We start from the raw sequence: 13,553 nt of genomic DNA on the forward strand, positions 1-13,553 counted from the left end.
AATGTTTGAGAACAGGGTAGATAGGACAGGACAAAATGGCTTTGCGTTCTCTCTTGCTCTGAAAATTGTTGTCATGGGATGCAGAACATAGTGGGTGCTTATTAAATGGCCTTCGATTGAAGGAAGCATGTTCTAGAGGCTTAATGATTCTACCCCCTGAAGACCATAGTACATCCTGGATGTGACTGGCACGTCTGTTGAAAGCCTGATGCTTTGTTCTCTTAGTTGTCATTCGTGGCCTCTAGGAAGCAGGGTGTTTGGTTGCCTGCAACAGAAATGGAGTCTAGCTGATTTACACAGAGGAAGAGTTTAGTGGAAGGATGTCAGGAGCATATAGGTGTAAACGGGAGGCGGAAGAGTCATGGTGAGTAAGCAACAGGACTCCAGGACTCAGTTGACTGAGCATTCCTGCAGGGATGAATTGGTTCTGCTGAACCAAAAGATCTACACATTTCTTATCACTTAAGGAAACAGGCCTGGATGTCTGCTGCCATTCACTCAGGCCCAGCTCCCAAAGATGACCCATCCCTAAGCGGCCCTGATAATCAGCACACAAGAGGCATGGTGTCATATTGGAGGACCAGCCCATATATTATTTCCATGCCTGGCTGTTACTTTATCCTGCTATTTTGCTTGCAAGGTGGAACAGTTATAAGGATACTCATGTGATTTACGTGTTCAACATTCAGCCCAATGGATGACATTGCCTTCGATATTATGTTTGGGTATTGGGCAACTTCCTATCATACCTGATGTTATTGTTTAGTCATTTTGTGCCTGATATGTTTAAGTTTTATAAATAAATGCTTAGCATGGTGTGCACCTATATTCTATATAATAATCCCAGGAGGTTGCTTTGGCTAAAGAACTCCATCCACTCCAGAACTATTTCCATGGTTTGCTACACACATTTCAGAACACAACTAGGGAATTATGACACTGCTATCCCTGGTGCCTTATCTCCTCAGTTATATCCTGAAATGAGCATAATAGCACCTACACAGCGGGTTGCTGTTTTAAATTGTATACTATATACAAAGCACCTGATGTGTAGTAGAGAAATAATATAAAAGGCAAAGATTATAACTTTTATTTTACTTCTGTCTTTCCCCATCCCCATGTAGTAATCAGAGACTAAGCATTTTTTGGTTAATATCAAACATGTTAAGGCAGGGGAGAAGGTGGAAGAAGGGAAAGTGTGGCCATATTTCCCAGCCCTTAGACCTCTCCGTGGTAAAGAATTTGGCTATGATAGTCACTGGAGTGCCCCTATGCGGCCCCCACCATGTTCCGGCGGTTCATCATACTCCTAACAATTCCACTTCCAATTCAGGAGTGACATGGAACTACTATTTTATTATTTTGTGTGAAAATAATAAAGTAGACGATTATTTTAAATCTCTAATAATTTATCTCCTTTCTTGTATCACTCTGCTCAAGACACAAAGTCCCAAAAGAAAGAGAGGGCGAGAGAGTGAGTTGAATTTGTCTGGCCTTGACGATGTGCTTAACCCCTCAGCTAGGGGAAGGTCTGTCACTCTGGTATACATTTCTACCAAGCAAATTAGGGCAGGTGGATTTTCATAAAAAGAAATTGGGTCACAGTTGCTAGAGTACAAGGAGTGGGTGCAGTGGGGGGTTCTGTAAACCCTCCAAAGCTTTTCTACAGGGTTCTCGGGATATCTTCCTAGAAAAACTATAAAGCCCAAGAAACAAACTACTCCAAAACAGCAGTTAAGATTAGACCAAAAGAGAGCAAGAAATAGCATGATTTAATCAGTTATCAAATCTCAAAAGTTCTTTTTTGTAACTCAGAATCCTCAATAGGGACTGTTATATATATGTGTGTATGTGTGTATAATATGTAATTGTTTATGTGTATGTATATACACACATATCACACATGAACATGTATAATTAGATTTAGAATATAATTTACATAGACACGATTCATTAAAGTTACCCATTACTAGCAGACATTAATCTGTTGGCATAGTTTAGTTGAGGCTTTCACCCTCCTGCCTCGCTCCCTCTTGCTCACTGTCTGAACCAGCCAGTCCGTCTGTCTTCCAGGCTATAATAGTCCCTGTGTTAGGTTCCGACGTCTAGACAGAGCCCAGGGATAAGTCTGGGTGGTCCTTTGTCCTCGGGGAGTACTAAATCAAGGAAGAGGGACCCCCATGTAAGTAGACAAATTCCATTTGGCCTGTGACCTTAAGGATGCCAGACTTTGGATTTGCGGGTGCAGCTGGCGTCAGAACACCACAGGCTGCTGGCTCCAGGGTTTGTTTCTATCGCGTTTATTGCATTGGGTCGGGTAGAAGTCCTGGGGATTTTCTTATTCCCTTGACTTCATTTTTTTTTTTTTCCTTTGTAACCTTCCATCTCACTTGCACAACAAACCCAGTGCCAACTGGCTGGGTCCACTTCAGTGCCATGAGGTTCCTGGGGACAGTGGAAGAAGGTCTGTTCAGCCGCTTCAGGTGCCTGATTGCTGGCCAGCTCCATCCTGAGAGGGAGCTGGGTCTGCCAGGAGCAAGGCAACACAGCCCTCAGTCCTGCTGCCTCTCCCTCTCTCCCTGCCTCAAGCCCCCTTTGCAAGACCACTCCAGAAGGCTGACTTCTCACCCAGCTTCTCCGGAAAGCTCTCCCTTTCCTCTGGGGCTGGACATTTTCTCTGGTCATTAAGCACTCCTTAGTGTCCATCAGTTGATCCGAGATCCATCTTGGAAGCTCTGTGGGGCAGCTTGATGGCTGTGGAGTCTAAAAGGGCAAGCATTATCCGTGCCCACCTCTTTCCATCTGCCTTCCTTGGAGAGAGGCCAACCAGAGAAATGTGGAGGGGATTTAGTTTCATCTCATTTTTATTCATTTCCAAGTCTCCAAAGCAGTAGAATTAGGCTCAGGAAATGATATGTTTCACTAACTCTGAGAAAAATTGGGGAAGTGTCTTCTAAAGCTCTGTTTTGATCTTGTCACCCTTCTGCTCAAAAGCCCTCACTCTCTTCCTCTACCCTGGGTGGCAACCCACAGCCCTGCTCATGACATTCAAAGCCCAGCATGGGAAGTGGGTCACCTTCTCAGCCATGCCCCCCACAGTCCATCCCTTCCCAGTCCTCTGTTTTAGCCACATTGGGCAACTCTGCACCCTCCTCCCCCGACCCGCAACAAAACACTCCTCCTCTTGCTTTGCTGACATCAGCCCCTCACCCAGAATGCCTTGCCCTCCCATTCCCACCCCTTCAAACCCTACTCAATATTCAGGGCTTAGTTCAGATGTCACTTCTGTGAATGAAGCAATCCTTGTTTTTCCAGTGGCGGGGGAAAAATCTCTCTTCCTTCTCCCTCTTAGAGCATTTGTGTGTGGCTGTCTCTTACTTTTCTCACTTGCATTTTGGAAAACTTGCGTATTTTCCTCACTACATCCTATTTATTTGGTTACTGGGAGGCATTCAGAACTTTCTTTTGCATCACCCCACACATCCAATCCGTGAACAATTCTGCTGATTTTTACCTGCTAGATATTTCTGGCATCCATCTGTTGTCTCTTGTAAGTATCCACTCAGTGGCTGGGTCCTCCTTATTGCCCTCAGAGGTCTCTACAGCAGCTTCAGCTGAGTTCCTTGCTGCGTGTGGTCTGCTAGGTGCAAATCCATTGTCTTCACAGGGCAGGTGGTTTGTGTTTCTCACCCCCCCCTTAGTTCAGGAACTTTCTCAGTAGCAACCACAATGTGGCTATCAGGGCCTAGTGCATAATAGGTACTTAACAAATACTGAGCAAGTGAAGGATGAACAAGTTATGTCTTTGGTGGCACTAAACAACTTGCTTGCCAGATGTTGCATAATCCTTAACTTGGAAATGTCCTGCTGTGAGTGACAGGCCTTCCCTCTCTGAACCTCTTTATGTACTTGTGAAATGACGGGCATTATTATTATTATTATTATTTTTTGAGACGGACTCTTGCTCTGTTGCCCATGTTGGAGGGCAGTGGCGTGATCTTGGCTTACTGCAACCTCTGCCTCCCGGGTTCAAGTGATTCTCCTGCCTCAGCCTCCTGAGTAGCTGGGATTACAGGTGCCTGCCACCAGGCCCGGCTAATTTTTGTGTTTTTAGTAGAGATGGAGTTTCACCATGTTGGCCAGGCTGGTCTCGAACTCCTGACCTCAAGTGATCCTTCTGCCTCGCCCTCCCAAATTGCTGGGATTACAGGTGTGACTCACTGTGCCCCACCGACAGGCATGATTTTATCTCAAAGGTCCAGTCATAAACCCATTTCCCTCTGAATTCATTTGCATTTGCTTCACAATTAAGCAGCTTCAGTTGTGGTGATTTGGGGGCTACTTTGCCAGAGATAACTCTTTCCTCATTAAAACATGTTGTGGTTTTTATATTAGCTTGTTTCTTAGGTGAGCTAAATGTTCATTTTCTCTTGAAGTAGACATGGGCTATTGCTGATTCAGCAGATTACACCCAAAAAGTTATCTAATCTGGGGTATGACCCTGACCTTTTTCATCACCCGATTGGGCCTGTCGTCCACAGAAATCATCAGACTTCATGAGCCTGTTTTTCATCCACATCATCAGACTTCATGGCCCTAGGCCCATGAATCAGAATCAAGTTACAGAGTGTCTGGAAAATCTGCTTAGACGTAGAAATCAATAACAGAAAAGCAAGACTGCTTTCGAGCTACAAATTATATAATTCTTGGGGCAGGTACATCTGGCTTCCTCCTTTAAAGGCTATGGAAGGTGGAAATCTGAAGTGTTAATTCAACAGTTGAGGGAAGTGACATTAATGCTTATGCCAGGAAATTTCTCCTTGTGCAGTGGTTGGGGAAAATGTGCTCAGACAGCAGGTGAAGGAGCCACATACTTTTTCCCCCAAGACCCTTCCTGAATTTAAATATTCTGTCCTCTTATTCCAAGAAGTGTATTCATGCTGGTCAGTTCAATTGGGAAAATATGGTCATTGCATCAAAAGGTTTTGTAAGGTTTTGATAAGTCTACTAGGTTGGTCTTGCCTATAAGAATAAAACTTATAACAGCAGGGACTTCTTAAATTCCTTCTGGTTGTGTATTTCCAGTTCTTTGTGGGATATCTATACTTGAAGGCCATCAAATTCTACGCTTCAAAGTCACAATTTTTCTGGGAAACAATGTTTTTTTTGGAGACAGAGTTTTGCTCTTGTTGCCCAGGCTGGAGTGCAGTGGTACAATCTCAGCTCACTGCAACCTCTGCCCCGGGTTCAACTGATTCTCCTGCCTCAGCCTCCTGAGTAGCTGGGACTACAGGCACCTGCCACCATGCCTAATTTTTTGTATTTTTAGCAGAGACAGGATTTCATCATGTTGGCCAGGCTGGTTTTGAAGCCCTGACCTCGGGAGATCTACCTGCCTCAGCTTCCCAAAGTGCAGGGATTACAGGCGTGAGCCACTGTACCGGGCCAGAATCTTCTTACTTGGGATCCCATGTCTCTGTGTTGCTTCTGAAAAAGCCTGGGGCTACTGGACAGGAGTAGCACTGGGGGGCTGTCAGGCTGTTCGTTAGTGGAAAGCCTTGTGAAAGGGGGTAAGATGTGTTTGGACAAAAGGAATTGAGTTATGTGTCATTCACGTAGTCATTTTTTGTCAGGGAGGTAAAGTGGGAGCAGAAATGTTTGGAAGAGAAAAATATGGCACACTGGGGTCCACATGAGACATTGTAATGGGCGGGACATGAGTGCAATGTGTGAGGGTGACCCCTGAGAGGGTGGGAGGAGGGGAGAGAAGCAGTCTGTGTGTACATTCTTCTGTAGGCTCTGGTGCTTGTCTTCTCTCCCCTGCACTCCCGATAGTCATTTTGTAGCTTTAGCTTCTTTGTCCTTGTGTCTTTCTTTCACCATTCACTACTTCTCCTTGTCATTTCATTAATGATACTGAATAATAAATGGCACATCGTAAAAATTTTCCACTGCACAATCCCTGTCCAAGGTGGAATGTGTGGAGCAGTTGAGCATCAGGGAGGTCAAATGAGTGGACTGAAGAACTCGGTGATTCTGATCAGGAAGGAGGTCCATGTAACATCCAGCATGCCGGGGGTGGTGTTGAGAGGACAGCATCAGGGATCTGTCTGTTGGCAGGTGGGAAGTCAGAAAATGACAGGTCAGAGTAGTGTCCAGTGAGGCTTCTGAACCCTCATGGTCAGTAATTGACAGCATGGCTTAGAAATTAAGAATCTCCAAGTGGACAGGTCTAGTTGACTTCCCTGGGACACAGTGCCTTGACACTGTAGAGGGAAACTCACAAGTAATTCATTATAACAATAAAAGAATCAGTGCTTATGATTTTTTGGTACACTGGTAGATCAAGATGATTTCTCTAGGAAAACATATTCACTTGCTCTGTCACCTAGGCTGGTATGCAGTGGCGCAATCTCAGCTCACTGCAACCTCTGCCTCCAGGGCTCAAGTGATTCTCCTGCCTCAGTCTCCCAAGTAGCTTGGACTACAGGTGCATGCCACCATGCCTGGCTAATTTGTGTATTTTTAGTAGATTCTGAGTTTTGCCACGTTGGCCAGGTTGGTCTTGAACTCCTAGCCCCAAGTGATGCACCTGCTCGGCCTTTCAAAATGCTGGGATTACAGGCGTGAACAACCATGCTTGGCCAATACTCACTTGCTTTTGATGTGCTTTCTTAACTAGGAGAAAGAGTCAGGGTTACAGAGAGCTCTTGGGGAACAACAGGGATGATCTTACACATGCCATTTCCCACAGCAAAAGACTTCCATCAATAGCTGTGACAATTAAACAGTGTAAAGCACTTTATTTTTCACCAAAAAATGTTGAGTCTCATCAAAATTTGAGAGTGTGCGCTGCGCTGCAGACAAATAACAAACATCAGGGTTATTGCTGTGAAAGAAAAAGGTTGAGAACCGCCAATTTAGTGTCCTGATCTGTGTCCATGGACTGATTCAGAGGCAGTGAGGGAGCAGGGGCTTCTGCTCCTGGTGGTCAGATGTTGAACTTGGAGTTCAACACCTGGGCCATAGACCCTGAGTCAGGAAGGTCAATAGCACACCATTGTGTCTCTCTTCCAGAACACAGATTTCCCTTTAATTCTTCTCTTGATCGATATGACTAGTCTTCAGGTTATATCATGGTTCCCTCCTCTTTGCTGCTGCTTTCTACTAAAACTCCTGGTTGCAGTGAAGTCTGGAGCCTGCCCACACCTTCTTGCAGGAGTCTATCCCCTGGCACCCTCTCTGAACTCCTTTTGCCCTTTTCTCTGCCCCTCTACTAAGCTTCCTAAACTGTCGATTGCATCCTGATGCTTCCTTTGTTGGAAAACTTCAGCAGTGTACAGCATGGTGAAGATGGCACCCACCAGGCACAGACATGATTTCTCTTCCACTTTTGCCTTTATCTCACGGTGGCCTTGAGCAAGTGACTAGTTTGATGCCTCAGCTTCTCTCTAGGTAATATGAAATCATGCAACTAGCAGAACATGAAGAACTATGATTCTTCTGCTTAAATGCTCTCCACATGTGCCCTATGTATCATTTAAATACAATATTGCTGTTTGTGACACATGAAAGCTATTTTATTGAGGAAGAAAATGCTTGGGTTTTTTTTTGTTGTTGTTGTTGTTTAAATGGAGTCTGGCTCTGTTGCTCAGGCTGGAGTGCAGCGGTGTGATCTCTGCTCACTGTAACCTCTGCCTCTGGGGTTCAAGTGATTCTCCTGCCTCAGCCTCCCAAGTAGCTGGGATTACAGGTGTGTGCCACCACACCTGCCTGATCTTTGTATTTTTAGTAGACAGGGTCTCACCATGTTGGCCAGGCTGGTCTCAGACTCCTGACCTCAGGTGATCCACCTGCTTCACCTCCCAAAGTGTGGGATTACAGGTGTGAGCCACCGCACCCGGCCAATGCTTGCTTTTTGATGACAATAGCACAACATCTCTACATGTCTCTCCCTCTCTTCTACCTTTAACTCTTGGCTCTAGTCCATCCTTTGTTCCCTCTGCCCCTTCTTCTCTCTGTCTCTTGCAGGATGACTGATATTGGGAGAAGCTGAATAATAAAACAGCAATTAGGAAACAGGCATTAGCAGCAAATAGGTCTGGGTGATGCATAGCTAACCCTTGATGACTGAACATTTTGAAGTGTCTTTTACTCATTTGTAAAATGGAGATAATATTAGCTTACGGTCTGGCATGTAGTAGTACCTAAATAAATGTTATCTCTGAATAAAGTCTAGCTCAAACATTCCTTCAGTTGTTTTTCTCTTTTTCTTTTTCTTTTTTTTCTCTTTTTGCTTTTTTTGTCTCTCTCTCTCTTTCTCTCTCTCTCTCTCTTTCTCTCTCTCTTTCTCTCTCTCTTTCTCTCTCTTTCTCTCTCTTTCTCTCTCTTTCTCTCTCTCTTTCTCTTTCTCTCTCTCTCTTTCTCTCTCTCTCTTTCTCTCTCTCTTTCTCTCTCTCTTTCTCTCTCTCTTTCTCTCTCTCTTTCTCTCTCTCTCTTTCTCTCTCTCTCTCTTTCTCTCTTTCTTTCTCTCTCTCTCTCTTTCTCTCTCTTTCTCTCTCTTTCTTTCTCTCTCTCTCTCTCTTTCTCTCTTTCTCTCTCTCTGTCCCTGTGTGTGTGTGTCTCTGTCCCTGTGTGTGTCTCTGTCTCTTTTCCTGTGTGTGTCTCTCTCTGTCTCTGTCCCTGTGTGTCTCTCTCTCTCTGTCTCTGTGTGTGTGTCTCTGTTTCTGTGTGTCTCTCTCTGTGTGTCTCTGTCTGTGTGTGTGTCTCTGTCTCTGTGTGTGTGTCTCTGTGTGTGTTTCTCTCTCTGTCTCTGTGTGTCTCTCTGTCTCTGTGTGTCTCTCTCTCTGTCTCTGTGTGTGTGTGTCTCTCTCTGTCTCTGTGTGTGTGTGTCTCTGTCTCCGTGTGTGTGTCTCTCTCTCTGTCTCTGTCTCTCTCTGTCTCTGTGTGTCTCTCTCTCTGTCTCTGTGTGTGTCTCTCTCTCTGTGTCTCTCTCTGTGTCTCTCTCTGTGTCTCTCTCTGTGTCTCTCTCTCTGTCTCTCTGTCTCTCTGTCTCTCTCTCTCTGTCTCTCTCTCTGTCTCTCTCTGTCTCTCTCTCTGTCTCTCTCTCTGTGTGTCTCTGTGTCTGTCTCTCTGTGTGTCTCTCTCTCTGTCTCTTTCTCTCGCTCTGTCTCTGTCTCTTTGTGTCTCTGTCTCTTTCTCTCTCTGTCTCTTTCTCTCTCTGTCTCTTTCTCTTTCTCTGTCTCTGTCTCTCTGTCTCTTTGTCTCTGTCTCTTTCTGTCTCTGTCTCTGTCTCTTTCTCTCTCTCTCTCTGTCTCTTTCTCTGTGTCTCTCTCTCTCTATCTCTGTCCCTCTCTCTGTCCCTCCTCTCTGTACCTGTGTGTGTGTCTCTCTCTGTCCCTGTCTCTGTGTGTGTGTCTCTTTCTCTGTCTCTGTCTCTGTGTGTCTCTCTCTGTCTCTGTGTGTCTCTCTCTGTCTCTCTCTCTGTCTCTGTCTCTCTGTCTCTGTCTCTCTCTGTCTCTGTGTGTCTCTGTCTCTGTGTGTGTCTCTGTCTCTCTCTCTGTCTCTCTCTCTCTGTCTCTCTCTCAGATGGGTCTCACTTTATCACCCAGCCTGGAGTGCAGTGGCGCAATCAAAGCTCACAGCAGCCTTGAACTCCTGCAGCTTTTTCGAATCTGGTATACACTGACCTCCCAATGACCTTATAGGACTGCATGGTTTGGAATTGGTTTCTCGCTAATCATGGGTCTTTTTCCTTGGCCAGCTGAATGTGAACCCCTTCCACAGTGGTTGTTCCTGCCTCTGTGTCTTCTCCACAGCACCCAGATAAAATACTTGCACAATGTTTTTGGAGCAGTTAAATGTTAGCGCTGATTAGATGATAGCATAGCATTTCTCATAGAGATCACCCAAAGCTTGGTAAAATTGTTCTTCCCGGGCCTCACCTCTGTGCCTGTTGCTATGCCGAGGCTTCATCCTGTCAGGCATTCGGACTCCCGAGGAGTCTTGAGCTTTGGGATTTGGCTGGCTGTGCTGTCTCTCTCCGCCTCTAGGCCAGGCGGTGCCTGCATCCCCCAATTCAACGGTGAGTTTGGGAATGGCCAGTCAGAAGCTCAGGACTACAGAAGCTACCCTCAGAGAAACCTGAAAGGGAGCTGGCTCTGCAGCTTGGTCTGCGTGTTTATTTGCCATCCGTGATTCACTGTGGCCTGGTGAAGACTCAGCAACGGGCACTTTCACTGGCTGTCCTCTGCTCTCTGTGGCATGCGATGGGGAAACCTTTTCCCAGGGGCGTTTTATCTTAGGAGAACAACTTCAAAAACACATGTAAAAGGGAAAAATGTTGTTTAGCATCTTGCTGTGGTAAAAATGATAACTTATATAGAGAATATCTATTTTGGGACTGATGTAGCAAAAAATCGTTTTCTAAGCCCCTCCCAACATGTAAAAAGAAGGGAGAAAAGGCCACAGTGGGAGCAGCCTCCTGAGCCCCCTCTGTAATTAACTCTGACAGCTACTGATTCTCATGCTAAAATGAGGGGTGGATGGGTGAGTGCTGGGGTGTGAGCTGGAGCCTGAGGGGAGGCTCTGGACCTGCCTTCTGCAGCATCCTGTGGCTCCATACTTTGCATTGGATAAGCCTTTCATTGGCTATCTGCCTAAGGGTCAAAATCTCGCCTTGGGTCTCTGCTACGTGATACGCATTTGGGTGTCTGGACAGAAGTGGATGCCAGACTTGTCCATGCAGAAAACTGCCTCCAATTAATATCTGCCTGTTTGACGGTACAGTTCGGTCTGTTCCACGCAGGAGCCCGGCATGTGCCATGTAAGTGGGATGGGGAAGTGTCGGCTGCTACTGGCATTTCATTCCAGGTCATCAGATGGGTTCTATTTTCAGGGCCCATCTATCACCCCATCTTGCAGTGTGGAGCCTCGAGTTCTCCAAATGTCCAGATCGCAGCTGTCACTGAGGTATTTTCAATTCTGCTCATTGTGTACCCCAAATCCAGGGAGAGAAGCTAAACAGAAACATTTGGAGTTATTAACAAATGGAATTAGTAACACTTAGGTAGGGGCAGTGAATTATTTGCCCAAGATCTGAGCAAACCAGAACCAAGGGACACAAATGGACCATGTGGTCTCCTAAAAATTTATTTATTTATTTATTGAGACAGGGTTTCACTCTGTCGCCAAGGCTGCAGTGCAGTGGCACAATCTTAGCTCACTGCAACCTCTGCCTCCTGGGTTCAAGCGATTCTTGTCTCAGCCTCCCGAGTAGCTGGGATTACAGGCATGTACCATCATGCTCGGGAAATTTTTGTATTTTTAGTCGATACAGGGTTTTGCCGTGTTGGCCAGGCTGGTCTCGAGCTCCTGATCATATGTGATCTACCCACCTTGGCCTCCCAAAATGCTGGGATTACAGGTGTGAACCACCGCACTCAGCCGCTAGCTTTGTGATTTTCTAAGTCTAACTCAGAATGAGAGTAGAAGGGGCCAGCAGAGGGGGTAAAGATTTGCTTTTATTTATTAGAAATAATAAAAAATCAGAGTCATGAAACGTTCTCAGATCACAGTGGCCTCAGTCTGTGAGGATGCCTGGGAAAGGAGGAATGAGGAAGCTGGAAGGTCGAGTAGGGGCTGAGTGGTGGGAGAGGGAGGGGAAAGGGTGGCCCTATGGGTGGGCAAACCAGAGCTCAACTCAAGGCAGGGGTGACCAATAGATGTGAGCTCAAAGGCATTGCCTCTGATTCCAGACCCATCTACTGGAAAGTCTGAGGTCACCTTCCTACCTATTGTTCTGTTAGGGCTTGAGTTTTCTAGGGAAAGTCATTAGAGGTGGTTCCTGGCCACTGCACTCCTCAACACTATTGGGAGGACCACCATTCACCTTTACCCTGAACAGCCTCCCAATTCTCCTAGGTGCCACTTTCAAGGTTTTAATGATCCTGTTAGAGATGAAATTCATTTCCTTGTCTTCTTTCCTTATCTGCATCACTGGGTTTATGTCTATGGAGAATTTCTTTGTCTATGGAGATTGGTCACAGGGTAACTGCTTGTGTCTCTTGCTTGAACACGCACGCCACTCCCATTTACTTAGGGTGGATCTGGTTCTGATATTTTGCAGCAGTTGCATCTGTTACACAGTAAAGGAGTCCTAGAGAAGTGCTGCCAAGGGGAACTCATAAAAAAGCCGCTGCTGGAGACTCAGATGTGCCCTGCTGAGCGAGGCAGTCTCCTCCTACTTACCGTGCTGCAGTGAGCCGCAGTCACCCGCGGGGGAGTTGAAGAATAAGTTGAATATGGTTGAACACGGTGGCATCATACTGCTCAGCCATCTCTGGGGTTAACTGCAGATGAGATAATTCCTGTATAACTCCTGGATCCTCTAGGGCATTCTGCCACTGTATCCACACTTCATGGTACAAGGGCGAATGGACAGATCTCCAGCTTCCAAGTGAAACGTGAAGGCGACTCGACAAGGATTTCTGTTAGGACAATAGTTTTGCTTCATGAAGACCAGGAAGGCTTGAACTCAGGACAATGGGTATCTTGAATTTACTCAGTTCCCATCTCTTAAGTTATTAAACATTATTTCCCACCTGTCTTGTGTATTTTTGCTTGATCCCTATAATATGGGGGCAGGCATAATTTTGTATAACCCCTGTAAGACGTGTGCCAGGTACAATTGGCCCTATTTCCTATGTGGGGAAACTGAGACTCAGAGCAGAGAAGCGACTCTCCTAAGTCACACGTTGTATTGCTGGCAGAGTCTCGGGCAGGAGTCGTGCCTCCTGATTTCCAGGTACATGCTGCTTTTGCTAGAACCAATCTATTAAAGAACCAAGACTCTTTTATTTGGAATTAATGAGGGATTCCAAAAATAGTGTTAGCAGTGCTTAACAAATTTGAAAGAGCAAAGGAACTGAAGCCAGAGAAGACTGAGATAGGGGAGCTGTTTCATTGTATCAATTTCTATTCACTTTGTTAATAATTGATGCCACATTTACTCATTGTTATATATTAAAAATACTTGATTTGCTACAAGGTAAAAATGACCCATTGACTTTGTCTCTCAACCTACGCTAACCCTAAATGAGAATCTCATTGTGACCACGATTTTGCAAAATTGATTAAATGGAAATAAATGCATTCAAGTGTCAAAGGCTGCATTGGGAATGGTTGCTAATGAGCTTGACCTTTCAGAGCTTCCTGGCTGGGTGCACAGTAGGTGTTCAATGAGTACTGATGGATGTCTTGACTGACTGAGATTTCGGTTAGCCTTCCATCCCCGGGAGCATGGTGCCTCTAATGTGTTAGATGGCATCATGTTCCAAAAATGAATCGATCTATAAATTTGAAGACTAATTTGGAAACATTTTAACCTTACTAAACAGAATAGTATGATAAAACCTAGGTACCCTACGCCAGCTTCAAATCAATATTCTGCTGTTTTTGTTTACTTCCCTTAACACACATCACTGCCTCCCCACCCCCAACACACACACACTTTTTTGTTTTTGAGACAGAGTCTCGCTCTGTCACCGAGGCTG

The 13,553-nt window shown here is 45.5% G+C and overlaps 1 long non-coding RNA gene across 1 annotated transcript; it reads left to right on the top strand.

Moving 5' to 3' along the window:
- Window positions 1-10,858: 10,858 nt before the first annotated feature.
- On the top strand, window positions 10,859-13,165 carry LOC105370953 (uncharacterized). Its single transcript, XR_001751742.2, has 2 exons — window positions 10,859-10,971; window positions 12,128-13,165. It is a non-coding gene; the product is annotated as an uncharacterized LOC105370953 (long non-coding RNA).
- Window positions 13,166-13,553: the final 388 nt, after the last annotated feature.

The sequence above is a fragment of the Homo sapiens genome, chromosome 15 (genome assembly GCF_000001405.40).
Source record: "Homo sapiens chromosome 15, GRCh38.p14 Primary Assembly".
Taxonomy (NCBI): domain Eukaryota; kingdom Metazoa; phylum Chordata; class Mammalia; order Primates; family Hominidae; genus Homo; species Homo sapiens.